The sequence below is a fragment of the Homo sapiens genome, chromosome 17 (assembly GCF_000001405.40).
Source record: "Homo sapiens chromosome 17, GRCh38.p14 Primary Assembly".
Classification (NCBI taxonomy): domain Eukaryota; kingdom Metazoa; phylum Chordata; class Mammalia; order Primates; family Hominidae; genus Homo; species Homo sapiens.
This window is the reverse complement of record NC_000017.11, coordinates 62,396,208-62,422,624: the sequence shown is the minus strand read 5'-3', so window position 1 is coordinate 62,422,624 and position 26,417 is coordinate 62,396,208. Positions and strand designations below refer to the sequence as shown.

Below are 26,417 nucleotides of genomic sequence, written 5' to 3'. Positions count from 1 at the left end.
ATTACAGGCGTGAGCCACCGCGCCCAGCCAGTAATTGTTTATTCCATTGTAAATTCTTTCTGTAGGTAAAACTACGGGGAGCAATGAATGATTCTATACTTTTTCCTCCAAAGAAATGGGAACAAGCTCTAAGCCTCTCTAATCAGGAAGAAAAATACACAAGTTAATAAAAAAAATAGTAAATAAGTTGTACTTCATTTGAAGACAATATGCTTTTGCCATTCTTGTGGTCTTCGGAAACATTTTGAACACAAGCTCCATACCCAGAAACAAGTACAAGGAATTTTTATCTTTTCTCAAGGCCAGCTGTTTGCAGATATGGTGGTTGATTTACATTTATTTCTGGCATCTTGTTTTCTCATCTATGGGCTTTTATTCTCCCCTCACTAAAAGCTGTTAGTGTTCCCAATCAACAGTCCCACTGCATATTTTCTTGCAGACAGCTCATTGTCTTCACTCTAATTTACTATATTAGTTCCAGTGGAGACATTTTAAATGTCAAACAGCTTTGGCCTTTTTTCTGTGAAATGTGCTAAAGTATCCTAAACTTAACTTTATTTTTTATTTTTATTTATTTATTTTTGAGACGGAGTCTCGCACTGTCTACCAGGCTGGAGTGTAGTGGCGTGATCTCGGCTCACTGCAAGCTCCCTATTTCACGGGTTCACGCCATTCTCCTGCCTCAGCCTCCCGAGTAGCTGGGACTACAGGCGCCCGCCACCATGCCCGGCTAATTTTTTGTGTTTTTAGTAGAGACAGGGTTTCACCGTGTTAGCCAGGATGGTCTCGATCTCCTGACCTCATGATCCACCCACCTCGGCCTCCCAAAGTGCTGGGATTACAGGAGTGAGCCACCGCCCCTGGCCTAAACTTAATTTTATACAATTATATTTGATTGGCCTGTAAAACCTATTTTTCGAAGCACCTAAAATAATTTTTCATAAGTTTGACATGGCTGTGAGTTCTCTGGTGTCAGACTTTATACTGGATTGTAGCTTCAGAAACGCCACGTTTCAGAGGAACTAAGGGTCCCTCTGGTGGTAAGTAAGGAGAACTCTTCTAGCTCAGTGGGTGGCATGGGTTTAACGCTTGTAAAGGTTAAAAACTCTCATTCTGGATTATTGCTTTAGGTTGTTAGCCAAGGACAAGGGTAGTTAATTGTGTTTTTTTGTTTTTTGTTTTTTTTTTGAGACGAAGCTCTGTCGCCCAGGCTGGAGTGCAGTGGCATGATCTCGGTTCACTGCAAGCTCCACCTCCCGGGCTCAAGCCAGTCTCCTGCTTCAGCCTCCTGAGTAGCTGAGATTACAGGCCATCGCCACCACACCCAGCTAATTTTTGCATTTTAGTAGAGACGGGTTTCACAATGTTGGCCAGGCTGATATTGAACTCCTGACCTCAAATGATCCGTCTGCCTCAGCCTCCCAAAGTGCTGGGATTACAGGCGTTAGCCACCGCACCCGGCCTTTCTTCTCCTTTTTTTCTTTGAGATAGGGCATCACTCTGTCACGCAGGCTGGAGTACAGTGGCACGATCACAGCTCACTGCAACCTCTGCCTCCCAGGCTCAAGTGATTCTCCCACATCAGCCAACAGAGAAGCTGGGACTAGAGGTTTGTGCCACCATACCCCAATAATTTTTGCATTTTTTGTGGAGACAGTGTTTTGCCATGATGCCCAGGCTGGCCTCGAACTCCTGGTCTTGAGCAATCCGTCTGCCTCGGCCTCCCCCAAGTGCTGGGATTACAGACATGAGCCACTGCACCTGGCCTGTGTTTTCTTATTGCAAAATAGATTTTTTATTATAGAACATTTAGAAGATATCGATAAAACAAAAGAAAATACTTCTTCCCACCATTAATTTGACTCATTAACGCTTTGGCTTATATCATCCCAGTTCTTTCTTTCTAATTTAGTTATGTAAGTGACTTTACATTAAAATAGTTTCAGAACAAAATGCTTTGTGCTTTTTTTTTTAAACAATTACATTCATCTGGCTGGGCGCAGTGGCTCACACCTGTAATCCCAGCACTTTGGGAGACCAAGGTGGGTGGATCACGAGGTCAGGAGTTTGAGACCAGCCAGACCAAGATGGTGAAACCCCCGTCTCTACTAAAAATACAAAAATTAGGCTGGGTGTGGTGGCTCACGTCTGTAATCCCAGCACTTTGGGAGGCCGAGGTGGGCGGATCACGAGGTCAGGAGATCGAGACCATCCTGGCCAACATGGTGAAACCCCATCTCTACTAAAATACAAAAAATTAGCCAGGGGTGGTGGTACACGCCTGTAGTCCCAGCTACTTAGGAGGCTGAGGCAGGAGAATCACTTGAACCTGGGTGTTGGAGGTTGTAGTGAGCCGAGATTGTGTCACTGCACTTCAGCTTGGGCGACAGAGCGAGACTCCTTCTCACACACAAAAAAAATAAATAATAAATAAATAAATAATAAATAAATAAAATTAGCCGGGCACAGTGGTGGGTGCCTGTAATCCCAGCTACTCGGGAGGCTGAGACAGGAGAATCGCTTGAACTCAGGAGGCGGAGGTTGCAGTGGGCTGAGATCGTGCCACTGCAGGCCAGCCTGGCAACAGAGCAAGACTCCGTCTCAAACAACAACAACAACAACAACAAGAAAACCCAATTACATTCATCCATTTTAAGTGTACAGTTCAATACATTTTCATAAAAATCTGTATTTGTGTAATCAGTGTCACAATCTAGTTTTAGAACAACGCCTTGAAGTTCTCCCATGCCACTTAGCAGTTGTAGTCTGCTTTTTAACTTAATAATAACTTGGGGACATTATTCTTTTGTTCGAAATATTCTTTTACAACATCACTTAATGTCCTTCTGGTATTGTTTCGTATAGCTATATCATGCTTTATTGGACATTTAGGTCACTTTAAGTTTCATACTATTAAAAATTTAACGGCTGGGTGCAGTGGCTCACACCTGTAATCCCAGCACTTTGGGAGGCCGAGGCAGGTGGATCACGACGTCAGGAGTTCAAGACCATCCTGGTCAGCATGATGAAACCCCGTCTCTACTAAAAATACAAAAATTAGCCAGGTATGGTGGTACGCACCTGTAGTCCCAGGTACTCGGGAGGGTGAGGCAGAAGAATGGCTTGAACCCTAGAGGCGGAGGTTGCAGTGAGCTGAGATCACGCCACTGCACTCCAGCCTGGGTGACAGAGTGAGACTCTGTCTCAAAAAAAAAAAGAAAGAAAAAAAAACAGAAAAAAATTCAACATGGTGTACATCTTTGTAATGAAATAATTTTGTACATTCATGATTATTTCTTTATGATTAATTTCTAGGAGAGGAATTGCTGAGTCAATGGTTATAATTAGCTCCATCACTAAGCTCTGTGAGGTTAAGTCATTTTACTTGTTTGTTAACTGTTATATGTCCAGGTCCTAGAACTAGGTCTGGCAAACAGTATGCAACTCAGTAGATAATTGATGAATGAATGGATGGGTGAGTACCCTCTTGCTATACCATATTTCAGCACAGAGATGCCAATTTACACTGTCATCAACAGTGTGTGACAATTCAATAGAAAGAATGTATTGCTGTACATTTTAGATTTTCCAGGACAGATCCTATTAAAAATATTCTGCCCTGTTATCTCACTGATGCAAAGAAATATTCCAGGAATTGTAACATTTTGGCATCCAAATTATATCTCCTAGATTCCCTGTTATACCCACAGCCATATGAAAAGTCTCTTGTCAAGTCATAAATCTTGTTTTTAGCTAGAAAATATGGCTGCTTATCTACCTATAAGGTTAGTTCTTCTCTCCAACATTGTATCTTTATAAATAATAGCAGGTATATTTAGACTCTTTTGACTATTCATGTTAACACTCACAAAATTACCTCAAGGCCATTTCAATAAACAGTTTTGGGGGCACTATCTTCATTGCTTTTTCCTGGCATTTTATAATTTTACAGCGGGGCACAGTGACTCATGCCTGTTATCCCGGCACTTTGGGAGGCTGAGGTTGGCAAATCATCTGAGTTCAGGAGTTTGAGACTAGCCTGGGCAACATGGCGAAACCCCATCTCTACTAAAAATACAAAAATTAGCTGGGTGTGGTGGCACGCACCTGTAATCCCAGCTACTTGGGAGGCTGAGGCAGGTGAAACGCTTGAGCCTGGGGAGGTGGAGGTTGCAGCGAGCTGAGATCACGTTGCTGCACTGCAGCCTGGGCAACAGAGTGAGACTCTGCCTCAATTTTTTTTTTTTTTTTGACATTATGAGGCATTGTCCCCATCAATATTGGACATATCTTTTCCTTTTTCTGGGTCAAAATTTTTCTAGAATAGTGATTTAAAAAGCATTTGTTCTATATGTTGAGTGTGATGGACTGGTTTGCACCCACACACCAGCAAACCAGCTTCTCGGACAACATTTACAAATAGTTGATCTCATCCCTTATATTTTTTTTCATCCCTTACATTTTTAGATCAGAATTGGCACAAGAAATAAAACATTTTGCCATCCTGACAGTAGATCAGAAGGTTAATATAGATTTAGTCTTGGTACATCCAGATTTCCTGAGTCCAAAAGTGGTCTGTCTCTCTGTGGGCAACCCTTGAGAACCACAGAAAAATACCCCAGTGGGACTGGGCACAGTAGCTCATACTTGTAATAACAACACTTTGGGAGGCTGAGGTGGGAGGATCACTTCAGCCCAGGAGTTTGAGACCAGCCTGAGCAACATAGGGAGTCCGCGTCTCTATAAAAATAAAAAAAATTAGCTGGGCATGGTGGTGTGCCCCTGTAGTTCCAGCTACGTGAGAGGCTGAGGTGGGAGGATTGCTTGAGCCCAGGAGGTTGAGGCTGCAGCGAGCCATGATTTTGTCACTGCATACCAGCCTGGGTGACAGAGTGAAACCCTGTCTCTAAACAAACACACACACACACACACACACACACACAAAACAAAACAAACCAAAACAAAAAACCCAGTAATGGATGATACACACTTAAACATGATTGAAAGGGCAAATTTTATGTAATGTGTATTTTACCATAATAAAAAATTATAATCCCCCAAACTTGTAATATAGTTATATATGTGCTTCTTTATCAAATGCATTAAAGAACAGCAACAATAAATACAATGGATGTGATCAGCTATTCATTTTGTTTGTTTGTTTTGTTTTGAGACAGAATCTTGCTCTGTCACCCAGGATGGAGTGCAGTGGCATAATCGCAGTTTATACTCACCATAAACTCACTGCAACCTCGACCTCCCAGGTTCAAGCAATTCTCCCGCTTCAGCCTCCAGAGTAGCTGGGATTATGGGCGTGTGCCACCACGCCCGACTAATTTTTGTATTTTTAGTAGAGACAGGGTTTCACCATGTCGACCAGGCTGGCCTTGAACTCCTGACCTCAGGTGATCCGCCCGCCTCAGCCTCCCGAAGTGCTGGGATTACAGGCATGAGCCATCGCATCTGGCTGTGTTCAGCTATTTGTAAGAGCAATCTAAGTGTGCAGCTGTGTAGCTAAGGAGCCTTGGGAATACCCAAATTTAATCAAGGTTCATTTAGGGCTTGCTGATCCTATTCCCTGAAACTGAAAGGTCATCCTCAGCTGCTGTCTCTAGTCTCTTTCACAAACAATTGAAAACCTAACCCAGTTTACACTCACCATAAACTCAGAGGTTTATTGCTTGGAGGGCCCTTAGCTCAGGCCAACTTTTCTCCTTCCTGATGAGGCTTAGGCAGTCTTAAGCCAGGTAGGGGCAGCAGAGTGCAGCTGGTTGCTAGGGAACTAACAGCCCAGCATCTATTTACTAGTAAAGATTTAGGAAAGGGGGCCGGGTGCGGTGGCTCACGCCTGTAATCCCAGCACTTTGGGAGGCCGAGGCGGGTGGATCACGAGGTCAGGAGATCGTAGACCATCCTGACCAACATGGTGATAACCCCATCTCTATTAAAAATACAAAAATTAGCTGGGTGTGGTGGTGGGTGCCTGTAATCCCAGCTACTCGGGAGGCTCAGCCAGGAAAATGGCTTGAACCCAGGAGGTGGAGGTTACAGTAAACCAACATCATGCCACTGCACTCCAGCCTGGTGACAGAGGAAGACTCTGTCTCAAAAAAAAAAAAAAAAAGATTTAGGAAAGGGAAACCATTTTATGACTTAAACTTTTTTACTGGTCAGAATCCAAAAGATGTCAAAATTTCCAGCTTCTAAGAATGTACTTAGACAAAAGCAAGAAACAATAATTTTGATAACTATGAAAAAGTAGTTTGTGATGAGCTGTTTAGAAAATGTAGAAATTTCATTGTTGAAATCCCTTTAAACCTTTCCGTTTTCTTTTTCTTCCTGAGTCTGTGTAACATTCACTGGTATCTGATGAGGAAGAGGATCTGGAGTTATGGGAGGAATTTCTATTCACATAGGCATCATATAACCTTAAGTCCTTAGGAGAAAGTAATTCTTGGCAAACATTCCAGGACCATGTATAAGTAGAAAAGGTGTCATAAAAGGACTCATTTCTAGAGTCCATCCCAATCAAATCCCCTCGGATCTTCTGCCAGAGGTTTAGCATCTCTTTTCGGTGTTCAAGGGCAATTCCTAAATTATAGGTATCAGTAGCTCTCTTCACCTGCAGTGAGAGACCAGAAGTTTATTGTAGTTACCTTAAAGTAGCTTTGATTTGTGGACCACAATGATAGATACCCCAAGAGTTATGTCCCTGGGCTACTCGAAAGTCACTGAATCTATACATTAGGTGGTGCCTCGTGAGGACGTGTGAGCTAGGAGGTGATGGACAATCAAAATGTACTGCTTGGGAATAATGAGGTAATAAGAAATTTTATAAGGATATGAAAAATACAATGGACTAAAATAGACTGAAGTATGGTATGGAGATAGGCTAGGGATATAACAGGAGGGCCAATTCAGCCACTCAGTTCAGCCTAGGATAGGGAGAACTGACTGGGAGAAGATGCTGAGCTGAGTAGGTCCTCAAGGATGTGATCAAATTGACGGAGTAAGTGGTGAGGGGAAGGTGTTCCAGGGAGAGGGGACAGCACAAACAGAGACCCCAAGGCAGTAAATATCCTGGAGGTGTGGCAGGAGGGTTCAGGCACTTGGTATTGCTGGAGTGTCAAGTTTAAAGTGGGAGGAATAAATAATGACAAAGGACAGGCAGGCCCTTACACTTAATCTTATAAGTCAGTAATCTCTGTGAGGCTAGCAAAAGCCTATTCCTCAGTGAAAATCATGCTGTAGTGACCCACTGTTTCTAATGAAAGTGAAATAAATCCCTTAAGCAGAAAATAGAGTTGAAATTGCCATCATTGAGAGGGACATGTTCACTTTTAAGCAGTACAGTGCCATGGTTGGCTCTTCATGTTGGATCATTAGCAGCTGTGTGGAGAATGGTTGGAGGATACCAGGTTGGAGACTGCCTCATCTAAGGCAGTGGTAATGGGGATGGAGTGAAGGGGACAGATTTGAAAAATGTGGTTTTTTTGTTTTTTTTTGTTTTTTTTTGTTTTTGAGACGGAGTCTTGCCCTGTTGCCTAACCTGGACTGCAGTAGTACGATCTTGGCTCATCACAACCTCTGCCTCCTGGGTTGAAGGGATTCTCCTGCCTCAGCCTCCCGAGTAGCTGGGATTACAGGCGCCCACGACCATGCCCAGCTAATTTTTGTATTTTTAGTAGAGACGGGGTTTCACCATGTTGGCCAGGCTGGTCTCAAACTCCTGACCTCAGGTGATTCGCCTGCCTTAGCTTCCCAAAGTGCTAGGATTACAGGTGTGAGCCACCATGCCCAGCCCTGAAAAACCTTTTAGAGAATGACAATCAGCCAGACCTGGGGATTAGCAGATGTGAGGAATGAGGAAAAAACCCGAGTTAAGGATAGCTCCTGGCTTTCTAGCTTCAGTGACTGAGTAGATGCTATCAACTGAGACACATGCAATATACTCTCATAACAAACCTGCACATGTACCCCGTGGATCTAAAATAAAAGTTGACCTTATTTAAACACACACACACACACACACACACACACAAAACAAACAAACAAACACCTGAGATACAGAATTCCCAGGGGAGAACCAGTTGGCTGCAGAAGATGATGAGTTTTGTTTTGGACATGTTGAGTTTGTTATGTTATGAGACCCAGCGTAGAGGTAGAAATAGTCATCAGGTGGTCAGTGAGATAGGACAGACATAGAGGAAAGAAGTTAGGTTAGTGACAACTTTAACAGTAATCAGTACATAGGTGGCAGCTGAACCAAGGAGGATAGATTGAGATAGCCCAAAGAATACTTGCCCTAGCTGTTCTTTACCTAATGCCAAGATTTCCAATGTATTAATATCAAACTATTGATCTTCTCAAGCTTCTTAGCCCTGGTGCAGCTGGTGTCCCAGGGCTAGAGGCCTCAGGACGTAAGATTCTTTCACCATGAATCTCTGAGTACACTACTCACTGTGACTGTTGGTTAACTACCTTAATTAGTTTGATATTTCTGGAATAACACAAATGAATGTCCCAGAAATAACAGTGAGTATAGCTGCATAGGTGAATAGCAGGATGAATCATAACACTTAACATTTGAATCCATTTGATTATAGAGAAAGAAATGGTGTTATTACAATGGGTAAACATGAGAAACAACCTTGTCTCATTTTAAAGACATAGAGCAGATAAAAATTCTCTTGGTTTTATGGTGTAGTATTGAAGTGGACAATATTTTTGTCAGTGATTTCTGGGAAGGAACTCAACAAGGAATACTCACATGTTGTTTAATAGCAGTTGCATCGGCCACTGTACAAGTCTGCTTTTTCTTGAGCATTTGATCAATGGTGAAGATGTTATTTGAATAACCTGAGGCAGGGTCCATAGACTTTATATTTGCTGCCTTTATGCATATTTAAAAAAGAAGGTTAGTAATACATTTTAATTTGAATTATACAACAAAAAGACATAATAAATAAGTATATTTTATTATAGAAGGATTTGTATATAATTTATAAGGTTATTGCCAAACCATTTGTTTGTTTGTTTAGACTTTTTTCCGGGTCCCTCAGGAGTGGCATTTGGCATATGTGCAAAAATATCTGTATATCCTAGATGGTGCCCTAGGACTGGAATTGCTAGGTCAAAAGGTGTGAGGTCTGTCCTTTTGGTAATTATTGCCAAATTTCCTCTGTAGAGGGTGAACCAATTTACAAACGTATCTGTAACTTATGAGTATACCCATGTTTTTTCATCTTGATCAATATAATATGAAAAGATAAATATCTGAGGAGAGTTTTAACTTGGATCTTTTATGAGGAATGAGGTTGAATATTTTTTCATGTTTCTGAGAACTGTCTGTTCATACCCTTTGCCCATTTTTATATAGGTTATTTTTTTCTTATGAATTTGAAGTTCTTTGAAGTTAGCCTTCTGTGTTATGAGTGGCAACTGTGATTTTTTTTGGCCATATGGAGATTTTTGATCTTGAAGCAGTGGAATTAATATCTTTTTATTTAAAAATGCATTTGACTTTTGTATCACAGTTAGGGAGGCTTTCCCAGAGTTTATTTCAGTATGTTTAAGGTTTCTTTTCTTTTTCTTTCTCTCTGACCCTCCATTTATTCCTTTTACATTTCATCCATTTGCAATTTGTATATGAAGTGTGAATCTCATTTTTTTCCTCAGATGCCTACTCAGTGCATTATTTGTTGAATAATCTATCATTTTCCTGTTGTGTTGAAATGTCACGTTTTCCTTAAGTTAAAATTCTCCACATAGCTCTATTTATTTTGGGACTTTCTATTTTCTTCCTTGGGTCTGTCTGTTAATATCATACTGTTTTAATAATTGAGACTTTTTTTTTTTTGAGACAGAGTCATGAAAGTGGCTCATGCCTGTGATTCCAGCACTTTGGGAGGCTGAGGAGGGTGGATTGCTTGAGCCCAGGAGTTCAAGACCAGCCAACATGGCGAAACCCCATCTCTACTAAAAATACAAAAACTAGCTGGGCATGGTGGCACGTGTCTGTAGTCCCAGCTACTAGAGAGGCTGAAGTGGGAGGATTGCTTGAGCCTGGGAGGCAGAGGTTGTAGTGAGCTGATATCACATCACTGCACTCCAGCCTGGGTGACAAAGTTGAGACCCTGTCTCAACAACAACAACAAAAAACCCTTGGGGAAAATTTGAAAAAATCACATTAAAGTTATAGACAAGTAAGAAAGAACAACACCCTTATAATGTCAAACATTCTTTTTTTTTTTTTTTTTTTTTGAGACAGAGTCTCGCTGGAGTGCAGTGGTGGGATCTTGGCTCACTGCAACCTTTGCCTCCCGGGTTCAAGTGATTCTCCTGCCTCAGCCTCCCTAGTAGCTGGGATTACAGACACGCGCCACCATGCCTGGCTACATTTTGTATTTTTAGTAGAGATGGGGTTTCACCATGTTGGCCAGGCTGGTCTCGAACTCCTGACCTCAGGTGATCCGCCTGCCTTGGCCTCCAAAAGTGCTGAGATTACAGGTGTAAGCCACCATGCCCGGCCTTGAAAGTGTTTTTATTTACTCTCCCTCTTGAATGATAGCTTAGCTGGAAATACTTTTCTCTCCTCAATCTATAGATATTATTTGATTGTCTTCTGGCCTTTATTTTTGCATGCATGGTCTCCTGTTAGTCTACTTTTTGTTCCTTTGTAAGTTATTTATTTTTTCTGTCTGTCTTCCTCCCTCCCTCCCTTCCTTCCTTCCTTCCTTCCTTCCTTCCTTCCTTCCTTCCTTCCTTCTTTCCTTCCTTCCTTTCTTCCCTCCTTCCTCCCTCCCTCCCTCCCTCCCTCCCTCCATCTCTTTCTCTCTTTCTTTCTTTCTTTCTTTAGAGACAGAGTGTTGCTTGGTGGCCCAGGCTGGAGTGCAGTGGTGCAAATCTCGGCTCACTGCAACCTCTGCCTTCTGGGTTCAAGAGATTCTCTTGCCTCAGCCTCCCAAGTAGCTGGGATTACAGGCATGTGCCATCATGCCTGACTAATTTTTGTATTTAGTACAGATGGGGTTTCATCATGTTGGCCAGGCTGGTCTTGAACTCCTGACCTCAGGCGATCCACCTGCCTTGGCCTCCCAAAGTGCTGGGATTACAGATGTGAGCCACTGTGCTTGGCCTCTGGTTGCTTTTGAAGTGTTTTCTTTGTCTCCATTTTCAACTGCAATGTTTCAAGTTGTATTTTCTTTTATATATGCTGCTCCAGGGTGTTTTCTTCAATTTAAGAATTCATATCTTTTATCAATTTAGAAAAATTCTCAGTCATTCCTAAAAATACTCAGTCATTACTAAACACCTCTCTTTAATAATTTAAAACATGTTTTACAGTCTTTTAAAGATCTGCTATATCAAATTATGATACTCCTCTTGTTTACCTACTGACTTTTTTTGAGAGTAGATTATTTCCTTTTATGGCTTGTAATTTTTGTGAACCTATCTTTAAAAGAGATTTTAAAAGATTTTTGATATAAGCTGTGCAAACCTAGGATATGGATGTGTTTATGTTTGTGTCTGGCAGACCTCCCAAGGTAATACCAATCTAAAACCGGTTTTTAAGGTAATTTTACTGCTTGGAGATTTCATCCAATGTGGAAACTATAAATTCAGATTCTGAATCCATGCATCCTACAATCCTGAGTTTCAAATTCTTCACAGAATACTTTCTTCTCTATTCAGAGCTTTGAGCAGACCAAGCTTGGCTATGGACTGAGTTTCTTACCCCTCCTTTTACTGAGAGGGCAACCCTTACAGATACTGGTTTCAATTCCAGTTGCTTACTTCCAGGGATCCACATCTCCTGACCCTGAATGGGCATCTAAACCCCAATCCCAACTCATCAGGGCCGAGATCTATTGCCACTTGTTAACTTGTGAACTTGTTATTCTGGCTTTAGGTGCTCTCTCTCTCTCTCTCTTGCTTTCTGAAACATGGGGTTTTCCTTTCTTTTGAATACATTTTTGAATGTTTGTCATTTTATTTAGTCCAGTATTCATATATATATTTATATATATATTTTGTAGAGACAGAATTTTACCATGCTGCCTAGGCTGGTCTCGAATTCCTCGGCTCAAGCAATCCACCTTCCTTGGCCTCCTAAAGTGTTGGGGTTACAGGCATGAGCTACCATACCCAGCCCTATCCAATATTTTAACGTGGTCATAGGGAGTCTATGTGTGGGGTCAAGTAGTGTTCATGTAACTCAGTTACTTTCTGAAACTTGAAAGTACCATTTCTTTCTTTTCTTTTTTGTAGAGACGGGGTTTCACCATGTTGCTCAGGTTGGTCTCAAACTCCTGAGCTCAAGTGATCCAGCCACCTCAGCCTCCCAAAGTGCTGGGATTATAGGCATGAGGCACTGTGCCCAGCCTATTTCTTGGTTCTAATGAACATTTATTTTATTTCATTTTGAGATGGAATTTTGCTCTTATTGCCCAGGCTGGAGTGCAATGGTGTGATCTTGGCTCACCACAACCTCTGCCTCCCGGGTTCAAGCGATTCTCCTGCCTCAGCCTCCTGAGTAGCTGGGATTACAGGCATATGCCACCACGCTCAGCTAATTTTGTATTTTTAGTAGAGATGGAGTTTCTCCATGTTGGTCAGGCTGGTCTCGAACTCTCGACCTCAGGTGATCCACCTGCTTTGGCCTCCCAAAGTGCTGGGATTACAGGCATGAGCCACTGCACCCAGCCTCTAATGAACATTTATAAATATACAATTATATTAGATTAGATGTAATATACTACATATGTATATAACTATAAACATATAGTTTAATAGAAATAGCATTAAATGTAGTATATTATAATATTTGTAAATATAGTACATATACAGTAGGTATAGATGTAAATATACATATGTATGCATGTAGTATAATAAATATAAATATGTAGTGTATTAGAGGTAATATACTAGTAAATATGTAATAGATGGTAACGTGTTATGAAAAAAATCAGGAAAGGGGGTAAGGTATTGGGGGTTGTGATTTTATTTGAATACATAAATATATTTATTTGTTCAAAAATTTTTATTTTAAATTTATTTTTAATTAAAAAATTTATTTTTAGAGATGGAGCCTCACTATGTTGCCCGGGCTAGAGTGCAGTGCATTCACAGGCATGATCATAGCATATTATAGCCTTGAACTCCTGGGCTCAAGTGATCCTCTTCCCTCAGCCTCCTAATCAGCTGGGATTAGGGGTATGTACCATTGCACCCAGCTATTTAAATACTTACTTAAAAAATAATTTATTGGCCAAACGTGGTGGCTCATGCCTGTAATCCCAGCACTTTGGGAGGCTGAGGCAGGTGGATCACCTGAGGTCACGAGTTTGAGACCAGCCTGACCAACATGGTGAAACCCCATCTCTACTAAGAATACAAAAATTAGCCAGGTGTGGTGGCGCATGCCTGTGGTCCAGCTATTTGGGAGGCTGAGGCAGGAGAATTGCTTGAACCTGGGAAGTGGAGGTTGTAGTGAGCCAAGATCACGCCACTGTATTCCAGCCTGGGCAACAGAGCAAGACTCTGACTCAAAAAAAAATTATTAAAGTGAAAATTCATGTAACATAAAATGAACCATGTGAAGTGAACAATTCAGTGGCATTTAGTACAATGACAATGTGGGGATTGTTATTTTAATGGGGTTGTTAGAGAGGCCTCCTAAAGTGACATTTGAGACAAGACCTAAAAGAGGTGAGGGGAGAGCTATGATGCAGCTCTCTGAGGAACAACATTAGAGCAGAAGAAATAGCAAAGCCATAGACCATGATGTGAGAGCACGTCTAGTCTGTAAGAGGAAGAGTAAAGAGGTCTTGAGGATGGAGTGGAATGCACTGGATGGTGAGCAGTGGATGATGAGATTGTTGGATAGGCAATGAGAGCCTAGATCAGTGATGGCCTATAACATTTTCCTCAATAATGGAAATTTTCTATATTTCTGTGTCATCCAGTATAGTAGCCATTAGCCACATATGGCTGTTGAGCATTTGCAATGTGACTGGTGTGACTGAGGAACTGAATTTGTAATTTTATTTAATTTTAATTAATTGAAACTTAAACAGCTACTAGTGGCTACAATTATTGGAAGGCTCAGGTTTTGATTGTGTGGGACATTGTAACAAGTTATAAAAATTTTGGTTTTCATTCTGCGTGATATGAAAAGCCATTGGAGGGTTTCAATCTGATTTTAACAGAACCACTTTGGCTGCTGGGTTGAGAATCGATTGAAGGGGACAATAGTAGAAGCAAGGGGACCATTTAGGAAGCTATTGACATTATTTCTGCTGAGATTATTAGAGACAATCTAGCATATAGTATGCTCTCAGGAAATAAAGTATTTGTATTACAGTATTCTTTCTTCCAAAAAATACTGAGTTACCTGTGGGCCAAATTCTATTTTAGATGATAGGGATACCTTAGTGAAAGAAATACAACCCTTGTGTACATGAATGTTATATTCTAGTTGGAGAGATTGACAATAAACAGATAAGCATCTGGGGTGGAGGAGTAGTTGAATGTTGGGACATAAGTTTAAAAGAGGATAAATGTCCTCTTATTTCCATCTTCTCAATGATATTTGCCTGTGGGTGTTACTTCATTTGGTGAAAGATAAAGTCTGAACCTGAGGTCATTTGTGACAGTGATACCCCTCTGGGCCTCTTAAACTCTATGTGGGGAGGGGCCTTCTAGGAATTGTATAGTGATGTGAACAACACATGGACCTCTGGAACCCAGAGCTCCACAGGGTGGGCTGGCCTCCAGTTAAGTTTCCATTCTGTTTCTTAGGCCTAGAGGCCTTACCTGGGGTGAGGCCAGAGCCTCTTGAGAGTTTATCTAGAAACTTGGGCATAGTTGCTGGAGACCTTAAAACTTATGATGACAAAAGTATATCCTGGGAGGGGGGGCAAAAAGACTAGAGTCAACAGAACTTGAAGCAAGGCCAGAAGGTGCAGCTGGGACCATAAATGGGGATCTAGTCGAGGGCAGGATGGCCCCTCCATCACAGCACTGCCCCTTTGGGTTGCGGGCCTGGTCTTCTCATCTCATGGTGTTTGCCCAACCACAATCTAGAGTGGATGGAGCGTGTCCAGAGTGCAGCTTCTGGTCCCTGAGTGGTTGGGGGAGCAGTCAGAGATAGGATTGGAGAAAATTTTATTGTTATTATTCCTATATTCCCCATCCCCAACCCCAAAGCTGTATTTTTTAGTAAGTTTACCTATTTGTTGAAATTAAATGAAATGTTAATACCTGGACTTAAATTTAGGAACATGGTTATGGCATCTGCTTTGAAAATAATGACTAAAACTATTTGTTGTAAAAAGCATGTCATTAGTTCTGTTAAGTTAGTGCTTAAAAATCCAAGTATTTAACTAATGTGACATAATCTAAATCTCACCTGTGTTTTCCAGTCTCTTTTATGGAAAAAATAATCCTCAAAGAAATGCAAAGGCTCCTTTATTCTTAGCATCTCTAATTTCTGCATGTCTTTGAATGGCTTTCCCATCACCACCCCATCCACATTAGGGAACAATGGAAAGATGGGTATTTTTGAATATGGGCTATCTGAACCGGAATTGCATCCTAAAAAGATAAAAACAAAAATGGTATCACAAACAATGTAAGAAGAAGTTCACATAAAAGACCAGCATGTGGTGCCTGTTTTGCTTTGTCTATTCTTCTCAGTGGCCATGGCCCTCATTCTTCACTCTCCTGCTCCCACCCCCCACCCATCCACAGACTCTAGGCTTCATCAGGTGTCTGAGGATTCAGTTACATCTACATTTGCTTTCAAATGACATCTATGTGACAGAGAGTGGTCACTCAGAATAGGCTGCAGTCCTGTTCTTATGCCATTTGGGCTCTAGTACTTCTTTCTGACCAGTCATATACAAATAAATCCTTTACAACAGTAGAGAGAGAACAAATGGCTCTTACTCTTGAGCTCTTCAAGAAATTTAAATAAATCCTTTTCTTTCATTATTGCAATCCGGGCAGCATTAGCAAAGGCAGCCATGCTTGAGCTTGGAGGTGTGCATATGTCTGGCTTAAGTGTCCTTTTTCCATAGCCCATAGTGTAGGGACTCCACAACATTCCTGGGCCAGTATGCTGGAATTTTCTTTGGAAATAGCTTTAAAAAAAAAAGTAATTCAGAAATGGATACAAAGAGACATAGGACAAAAATTTTAAAAAGTCAAGTTGCTAGTTACATATGCTGAAGAAACTTATTTTAAATCTAATTTGCATATTCATTCAATAATATTTGAGTGCCCATTTCTGTGATATTTATAGAATATTTACTGATACCTTCCACAGGCCATTTGACTATTTATATCTGTATTCCTTGGCTTTTGGTCTCCTTTTTTCCCCAAGGCTTCCCAGAGTTTTTGTTTTTGTTTTTTTTAGAGAGAGATGAGGTCTTGTTATGTTGCCAGGCTGGACTGGAACTCCTGGGCTCAAATTCTCCTCCCTCCTCAGCCTCCTGAGTAGCTGGGACTATAGGTACCTGCTATCATGTCCAGCTCTGACCTCCCTGTTTTGTTTAGAAAAATACTTATGAATTATGATCCTTGACAAACACTTAAGTGGTACCAGCTTGAATGCAAACATTAATTATTATTACTTTGTGTTAGGTTTAAAAATGCAACTTTTGTTTTAAATTAAAAGAAATTCTCATTGCAGAGAATTTGGAAAACATAGAAAAGTATAAAAAAGAAAAGAAAATACTACCAGTAAGCTTACGATCTGGAGTAAATCACTATTGATTGCATTTCTTTCCTATCATTTTTTTTGGAGCGTATGTGTATGAACAGACTTAGAAGATGTGTTACTGGGTGTTTTAGGTTATACATTCTTTAAGAATAAGTACAGCTGGCAGGCTGTATGTGATAAAGGACTCTGATCCATAGTATAAACATCTGACTTACAAACATGCATGCCTCGAATATCAGTGACTGTGGTGATCAGCTTCCTCCTTGCTGCCAGAACAGTGGACTTCTCTCTGCAGCTATGGTAGGGATCTGCTTACTGCTGCTGAGGTGGAAGGACTTGCTTCTCACTGCTTTGGCAGTGGAACCTCTCACATCTCAGTGTTCTGGGCAGAAGAGCATCACTTCATGCTGTCTCAGAGGACAAAGTGTAAGACCTTGCTTCTCATTAATACATAGGCTGATTTCTTGCTGTTACAGCAATGGGAGGCTTCACTACTCTCTGGGATGGTGACAGACAACCTTTTCTTTCCTCTCAGGAAGAGGGAAAGGACTCATTCTAAATGTTGGGGCTGAAGCAGTGGTTGGTAGGAAATGTGCCTATGGTGCTCTGATTAGAGTCTGACTTATGATCAGATACTTTCTTCCCTAGCCTTGAACTCAACCATCCACAATGTCATCACTTGCCTGTGAAAATGGCATAATGTAATTTAATTCCCACCAGGTCCTTCAAGACTCAGTTTTTCTTTCCCTCAGAGTATTCTCTATATACTCTATGGCTCTGAATGTGGTCTTCAGCACCACTGGGAAAATACAAATTGTGGGAAATACAAATTCTTGGCCCTGACTACACACCTACTAACTTAGAAATCCTGTAGCCTAGCAATGTGTTTTAACAATCACTCCAGCTGATTCTGACACAGTGCAAGTTTGAGAACTTTTGCTCTAGTCTATAGTTTCCTTTCTTCCTTGAAATTCTAATCTTTGCTTAACAATTTATGTCACATTATATTTTATAACTAATTGTTTCATGTATATTACATACCAAAACTAGTGGCTTGTGTTTGTATTTGCTGTCTTTATTATTATTATTATTATTATTTTTTGAGATGGAATTTTGTTCTTGTTGCCCAGGCTGGAGTGCAATGGCACGATCTTGGCTCACTGCAACCTCCACCTCCTGGGTTCAAACGATTCTCCTGCTTCAGCTTCCCGAATAGCTGGGATTAAAGGCATGCGCCACCATGCCTGGCTAATTTTGTACTTTTAGTAGAGACGGGGTTTCTCCATGTCGGTCAGGCTGGTCTTGAACTCCCAACCTCAAGTGATCCATCCGCCTCGGCCTCCCAAAGTGCTGGGATTACAGGCGTGAGCCACCGCGCCCAGCCTGTTATTTATTGTTATTATTTTAGAGACAGAGTCTCACGGTCTCCCAGGCTGGAGTACAGGGGTGCAAGGCTCACTACAGCCTTGAACTCCTGGACTCAAGCAGTCCTTCTGCCTCTGCCTCCTGAGTAGCTGGGACCACAGGTGCAAGCCACCCTGCCTGGCTAATTTTTAAGTTTTTTGTAGAGAGTTTCCCTACATTGCCCAGGCAGGTCTTGAACTTCTGGGCTCAAGTGATCCTCCTGCTTTGGGCTCCCAAAGCTTTGGGATTACAAGTATTTAACTAATGTGACATAATCTAAATCTCACCTGATTGGCATAGTGCACTATAGCCCAGAGCCCTTGGGGCTGAAGGGATCCTCCTGCCTCAGCCTCCCAAGTAGCTGTAACTACAGGCCTGCACCACCATTCCTGGCTGTGGTAATTTTTTATGACAGCCCTAGGAAACTGACTCACAAAGGGGGAAACTGTTTTAGGCAAATACCAGGAGGTGAGAGAGCATGGAGTATTTGAGGACCCGAGTTAAATGTAATCTAGGGTGTGAGAGGGGAAGTTACAAGAGATGAGGGCTGGGCACAGCTGCTCTCGCCTATAATCCCAGCACTTTGGGAGGCTGATGGGGGTGGATCACTTGAGGTCAGGAGTTCAAGACCAGCTTGAGCAATGTGGTGAAACCCTGTCTTTACAAAAAAATACAAAGATTAGCCAGGCATGGTAGTGCAGGCTTGTAGTCCCAGCTACTCCAGGAAGCTGAAATGAGAGGATTGCTTGAGTTTGGGAGGTAGAGGCTGCAATGAGCCTTGATCGCACCACTGCACTCCAGCACTCTAGCCTGGGAGATAAGAGAGCAAGACTCTGTGGAGAGACAGAGAGAGATATATGAGACTGGAGGTTAAGCAAAGGATATATTATGAAGGACCTTTGAAATGTCACGTTAAGTTAGAACTTTTTCATAGGAAACCTGAGAGGTCACTGTAGGCTTTTTAGAAGGTAAGTGATGTGATGATATGATTAGATTTGTGCTTGGCATTGTAGGCCACTTAAATATTTTCTAATATATTCAGTTATGATCTGGCTGCAGTGTGGAAAGTGGATGGAGATGGCAAATATGGAAACAGAGTGACAAGGCAGGATACTACAGTTAAGTCCAAGAAGATAGTGACTTTCTTACACTAGGGTGTTTCTGTGGGGATAGAGAGAAATGCATTGCTTTCATGTTGAGGAGGTAAGATAGACAGGGCTTAGTGATTGGTTGGATGTAGGGAATGAGAGAGCAGTGACAACTGGGGATTATGCTGCGCCTTTGGCTCAGACAGTTGGGTAAATACACTGAGATGGCAAAACCATGCACTGAGATCTGAAACTCAAGTGGAAGAACTATAGAAGTATGTGTGGACACAGATATACAAACTACCATCAGAGAATACTATAAACACCTCTACGCAAATAAACTAGAAAATCTAGAAGAAATGGATAAATTCCTGGACACATATACCCTCCCAAGACTAAACTAGGAAGAAGTTGAATCCCTGACTAGACCAATAACAGGCTCTGAAATTGAGGCAATAATTAATAGCCTACCAACCAAAAAAAGTCCAGGACCAGATGGATTCACAGCCGAATTCTACCAGAGGTACAAAGAGGAGCTGGTACCATTCTTCTGAAACTATTCCAATCAATAGAAAAAGAGGGAATCCTCCCTAACTCATTTTATGAGGCCAGCATCATCCTGATACCAAAGCCTGGCAGAGACACAACAAAAATAGAGAATTTTAGACCAATATCCCTGATGAACATCGATGCGAAAATCCTCAATAAAATACTGGCAAACCGAATCCAGCAGCACATCAAAAAGCTTATGCACCATGATCAAGTGGGCTTCATCCCTGGGATGCAAGGCTGGTTCAACATATGCAAATCAATAAACATAACCCATCATATAAACAGAACCAAAGACAAAAACCACATGATGATCTCAATAGATGCAGAAAAGGCCTTCGACAAAATTCAACAGCGCTTCATGCTAAAAACTCTCAATAAATTAGGTATTGATGGGACGTATTTCAAAATAATAAGAGCTATTTATGACAAACCCACAGCCAATATCATACTGAATGGGCAAAAACTGGAAGCATTCCCTTTGAAAACTGGCACAAGACAGGGATGCCCTCTCTCACCAATCCTATTCAACATAGTGTTGGAAGTTCTGGCCAGGGCAATCAGGCAGGAGAAGGAAATAAAGGGTATTCAATTAGGAAAAGAGGCAGTCAAATTGTCCCTGTTTGCAGATGATATGATTGCATATTTAGAAAACCCCATCGTCTCAGCCCAAAATCTCCTTAAGCTGATAAGCAACTTCAGCAAAGTCTCAGGATACAAAATCAATATGCAAAAATCACAAGCATTCCTATACACCGATAACAGACAAACAGAGAGCCAAATCATGAGTGTACTCCCATTCACAATTGCTTCAAAGAGAATAAAATACCTAGGAATCCAACTTACAAGGGATGTGAAGGACCTCTTCAAGGATAATTACAAACCACTGCTCAACGAAATAAAAGAAGACACAAACAAATGGAAGAACATTCCATACTCATGGATAGGAAGAATCAATATCGTGAAAATGGCCATATTGCCCAAAGTAATTTATAGATTCAATGCCATCCCCATCAAGCTACCAATGACTTTCTTTACAGAATTGGAAAAAACTACTTTAAAGTTCATGTGGGACCAAAAAAGAGCCCACATTGCCATGACAATCCTAAGCAAAAAGAACAAAGCTGGAGGCATCACGCTACCTGACTTCAAACTATATTACAAGGCTACAGTAACCAAAACAGCATGGTACTGGTACCAAAACAGAGATATAGACAAATGGAACAGAACAGAGTCCTCAGAAATAATACCACACATCTACAACTGTCTGATCTTTGACAAAACTGACAAAAACAAGCAATGGGGAAAGGATTCCCTATTTAATAAATGGTGCTGGGAAAACTGGCTAGCCATATGTAGAAAGCTGAAACTGGATCCCTTCCTTACACCTTATACAAAAATTAATTCAAGAAGGATGAAAGACTTAAATGTCAGACCTAAAACCATAAAAACCCTAGAAGAAAACCTAGGCAATACCATTCAGGACACAGGCATGGGCAAGGACTTCATGTCTAAAACACCAAAAGCAACGGCAACAAAAGCCAAAATTAAGAAATGGGATCTAATTGAACTAAAGAGCTTCTGCACAGCAAAAGAAACTACCACCAGAGTGAACAGGCAACCTACAGTATGGGAGAAAATTTTTGCAATCTACCCATCTGACAAAGGGCTAATATTCAGAATCTACAAAGAACTTAAACAAATTTACAAGAAAAAATCAAACAACCTAATCAAAAAGTGGGTGAAGGATATGAATAGATACTTCTCAAAAGAAGACATTTATGCAGCCAACAGACACATGAAAAAATGCTCATCATCACTGGTCATCAGAGAAATGCAAATCAAAACCACAATGAGATACCATCTCACACCAGTTAGAATGGCAATCATTAAAAAGTCATTAAAATCATTAAAGTCATTAAAAATCATTAAAAACAACAGGTGCTGGAGAGGATGTGGAGAAATAGGAACACTTTTACACTGTGTAAAACTGTAGTTTTACACTTTTACACTGTGTAGGACTGTAAACTGCTTCAACCATTGTGGAAGACAGTGTGGCGATTCCTCAAGGATCTAGAAATAGAAATACCATTTGACCCAGCAATCCCATTACTGGGTATATACCCAAATGATTATAAATCATGCTGCTATAGAGACACATGCACATGTATGTTTATTGTGGCACTATTCACAATAGCAAAGACTTGGAACCAACGCAAATGTCCATCAATGATAGACTGGATTAAGAAAATGTGGCACATATACACCATGGGATATTATGCAGCCACGAAAAAGGATGAGTTCATGTCCTTTGTAGGGACATGGATAAAGCTGGAAACCATCATTCTGAGCAAACTGTCTCAAGGACAGAAAACCAAACACCGCATGTTCTCACTCATAGGTGGGAATTGAACAATGAGAACACTTGGACACAGGGTGGGGAACATCACACACTGGGGCCTGTCGTAGGGTCAGTGGAGGAGGGAGGGATAACATTAGGAGATATACCTAATGTAAATGACGAGTTAATGGGTGCAGCACACCAACATGGCACATATATACATATGTAACAAACCTGCACGTTGTGCACATGTACCCTAGAACTTAAAGTATAATAAAAAAATAAGAAAAAAAAGAAGTATGTGTGGACAAAGAGATAAATTAAGTTTTTACCTTTGGTTTGAGGTGGCTGTGGGGCTTACACATGGAGATGCCCAGTAGGCAGATGGAAACCCTAGAGGGAAGATCTGGGCTGGAGATCCCAGTGTGATCTTCTCTGTGCCTCATTCTCCTTGCCTGTATACAAATGGAGGTAATAGGACCTACCTCACAGGTTTGATTTGGGGATTAAATGGAGGTCATTCAGCAAATAATTGCTGAGCTCCTGGTGTATATCAAGCATTTTCCTATAATAGATACTGGGAAGATAGCAGTGAATAAAACACACAAAAAATAATTCCTGTTCTCATGGAACTTACATTCTAGCATGAGAATACAGATAATAAAATAAATAAGTAAATTTTATTGCATATTAAAAGGTGATGAATAGTATGAAGAAAAATAAAGCAGAGAAGTGGGGACAGGGAGTGGTAGGAGGGTTGCAGTTTTAAACAGGGTGGTTAGAGAAGGCTTTGCTGAGATGACATCAGAACAAAGACCCAAAGGTAGTGAGAGTGAGTTGAGTGAGTCATGGTCTATCCAGGGGAAAAGTATCCAGATAGAGGGAAAAGCAAGTGCAAAGGCCTTAAGGTGGGAGCGTGTTTGATGTATATGAGGAAGAGTAAGGAGGCCAGCATGGCTACAGCACAGTAACAGAGACAAAGTCAAAGAGGTCAAAGGGGAATGCAGCGCACATAGAGGGCCAATATGTCATTGTAAAGGCTTTGGCTTGGGGCCAGGCGGTGGCTCACGCCTGTAATCCTAGCACTTTGGGAGGCTGAGGTGAGCAGATCTCTTGAGCCCAGGAGTTTGAGACCAGCCTGGGCATCATAGTGAATACCTATCTCCACAAAAAATAGAAAAATTAGCCAGGTGTGATGGTGCACACCTGTAATCTCAGGCATTTGGGAGGCTGAGATGGGAGGATCACTTAAGCCTGGGAGGTTGAGGCTTCAGTGAACCATCATGGTGCCACTGCAAGACCCTGTCTCAAAAAAGAAAAAAAAAAAAGACTTTGGCTTTTACTCTGAGGGAAATGGGAGGGTTTTGAAGGTTTTGAGCAGAGGAGTGATATGATCTGCAGCATTTGGAAGACTCATTTGGTGCTGTAGGAGTCAAGGAGTCAGCTAGGCACAGGGAGTGTTGTGAGTAGGCTGTTCAGCAGGCAGAGCAGGGGAGCAGCAGTCAAAGGTGCAAGCAGGAAGACCAGTTATTAGCCAGGGAAAAACTGATGTATGTAAAGTGCTTGCTCAGAGCTTTGCATTTATTACATATTCAATAAACGGTGTCAACTATGTGAATACCTATCAAATTCTACCATTAACCAAATCAAGACCTGCTTTCTCAGGAAATTAAATAATTATCTTTGCCACTTATTTGACATTTATTTAACGTACGTTGAATTATGTTACTTCCGTATATTTATTCAAATATCCACATATTTCTGACTTCTCTCTCCATTTATACATATATATATGTGTGTGTGTGTGTGTGTGTACATATATAATTATTATTTTTTCTTTCTTTCTTTTGAGACAGGGTCTCACTTTGTTGCCCACGCTGGAGTGCAGTGAGGTGAACATGGCTTACTGTAGCCTTGACCCCCAGGCTCAAGCAATCCTCCTGCTTTAGCCCTTTAAGTAGCTGAGACGACAGGCCTGTGCCACTATGGTGGCTAATTTTTTGTTTTTTTTTTTTTTTGCATATAAAAATTTATCACTACAGTTTTTTTTTTCTTTTTTTTTTGAGACTAAGTCTCACTCTGTTGTCCAGGCTGGAGTGCAGTGGTGCGATCTCAGCTCACTGCAACCTCTACCTCCCAGATTCAAGCCATTCTTGTGCCTTGGCCTCTTGAGTAGCTGGGATTACAGGTGCGCAGCACCGCACCCAGTTAATGTTTAAATTTTTAGTAGACACGGGGTTTCACCATGTTGGCCAGGCTGGTCTCGAACTCCTGGCTTCAAGGAATCCACCTGCCTTGGCCTCCCAAAGTGTTGGAATTACAGACGTGAGCCATCACGCCTGGCCCGTCACTACAGTGTTTTCACTATTAAAGTTTATGATCTTGGTCTTTCCTTCGTGCCTTTGTATAGGGCCAAAAGAGAGACATTGGGCACTTTGACAACCTTAAAGCAGACTCCAGGAATATCACCTTTTTTTTTTTTTTTTTTTTTGAGATGGAGTCTCGCTCTCATTGCCCAGGCTGGAGTGCAGTGGCATGATGTCGGCTCACTGCAACCTCTGCCTCCCAGGTTCAAGCGATTCTCCTGCCTCAGCCTCCTGAGTAGCTGGGATTACAGGCACCCTCCACCATGCCTGGCTAATTTTTTTAAATTTTTAGTAGAGACGGGGTTTCACCATGTTGGCCAGGCTGGTCTCGAACTCCTGACCTCATGATCCACCTGCCTTGGCCTCCCAAAGTGCTGGGATTACAACAATGAGCCACTGTGCTCGGCCCAGCATGACCTTTTTAACCAAATCCAGCAACAAGAACTTTATCGTTTTTCTCAATAAAGTTCAAGCAACCACCATTGGGTACAAAGGCTGTGATTTTCTTGCTATTCTTGATCAGCTGGATGCTGGCACACTTCCTGATGGCAGAATTTGGCTGTTTGGTTTCAACCCCTATTTTTTCCAGCACAATTCCTTTTGCATGAGAAGCACCTCTCATGCAACCCTCAAAAGGGTTGGCCTTCAGGGCTGTGCCCAAATGGGCTTTCTTGTACTGTTTTTCATGCCACTTCTGGTCTCGTCAGTGACTGTGGAGCTTCCTAGCCACACGAAGTCCATGACGCTTGCCCATCCTGCTGGCACCACGGGCCTGAGTGAAAGAGCTAATTTTTGTAGAGATGGGGTTTCACCAGGTTGCCCAGGCTGGTCTCAAACTCATGGACTCAAGTGATCCATGCACCTCAGCCTCTCAAATTGTCTCCATTTATATGTTAAATACTATGTCTTAAACATTTTTAATCTCCTTAGGTATCAGGCACTAGCAAGATGACCAGATAAATAATAACCAGATAAATAACAGCCACACCACAATAACAATAAAAATGCCAACATCAGCTAACATTTCCTAAGCACTTACTGGGTGTGAGAGGCAGTATAGGGAGATAGATAAGAGCCCGAGTTCTGGAATCAGACTGTGCTAAAATATAGGTACCATTCCCTCTTGGGCAAGTTATTTAACTGACCTGTGCTGCAGTTTTTTCATCTGTAAAGTGGGAGTGATGATAGTATATACTAATTAGGGAGGTGAGGATTAAATTAGATAATATGTATATTCTTTTTAAAAAAATTTTATTTTTATTTTATTTTTTTAGAGGAAGGTCTCACTCTGTTGCCCAGGTTGGAGTGTAGTGGCACAATCACAGCTCACTGTAACCTCAAATTCCTCGGCTCAAATGAGCTTCTTGAATAGCTTGGACTACAGGTATTCGCCACCATGCCTAGTTAATTTTTTTAATTTTGTAGAGAGGAGGGTCTTGCTATATTGCCCAGCTGGTATGGAGCTTCTGGCCTTAAGTCATCCTCCCATCTCAGCCCCCTGAGTAGCTGAGATTACAGGTGCGATCCATGGTGCCTGGCTATAATTTTTTTTTAAACGAAGCTTCAATTTTCTTTTTTTTTTCTTTTTTATTTTTTTGAGATGAAGTCTCACTCTGTTGCCCAGGCTGGAGTGCAATGGAGTGATCTCGGCTCACTGCAACCCTCCGCATCCCAGGTTCAAGCTATTCTCCTGCCTCAGCCTCTCGAGTAGCTGAGATTACAGGCACCTGCCACTATGCCTGGCTAATTTTTGTATTTTTAGTAGAGACAGGGTTTCACCATGTTGGCCAGGCTGGTCTCGAATTCCTGACCTTGTGATTCGCCTGCCTCAGCCTCCCTAAGTGCTGGGATTACAGGCATGAGCCACCGCGCCCAGCTGAAGCTTCAATTTTCAAGATAATATGTGTATGCTTAGTCTAGTTACTTCCACATGATAATAATAG

The 26,417-nt window shown here is 41.5% G+C and overlaps 1 protein-coding gene and 1 pseudogene across 4 annotated transcripts in view; both read right to left on the bottom strand.

The window, feature by feature from the left end:
• Positions 1–6,144: 6,144 nt before the first annotated feature.
• Positions 6,145–26,417, bottom strand: part of EFCAB3 (EF-hand calcium binding domain 3) — a 46,263-nt gene continuing 25,990 nt past the window's right edge. For all 4 annotated transcript variants that reach the window (NM_001144933.2, XM_011524380.2, NM_173503.4 and 1 more), the window contains 4 exons: positions 15,952–16,145; positions 15,413–15,597; positions 8,771–8,893; positions 6,145–6,622 (listed from right to left, as the gene is read on the bottom strand). In NM_001144933.2, the coding sequence (NP_001138405.1) occupies positions 6,296–6,622; positions 8,771–8,893; positions 15,413–15,597; positions 15,952–16,145 (829 nt within the window). In that variant the 3' untranslated portion in view covers positions 6,145–6,295. The remainder of the gene's footprint in view (positions 6,623–8,770; positions 8,894–15,412; positions 15,598–15,951; positions 16,146–26,417) is intronic.
• RPS23P7 (ribosomal protein S23 pseudogene 7) lies at positions 24,458–25,259 on the bottom strand (annotated as a pseudogene).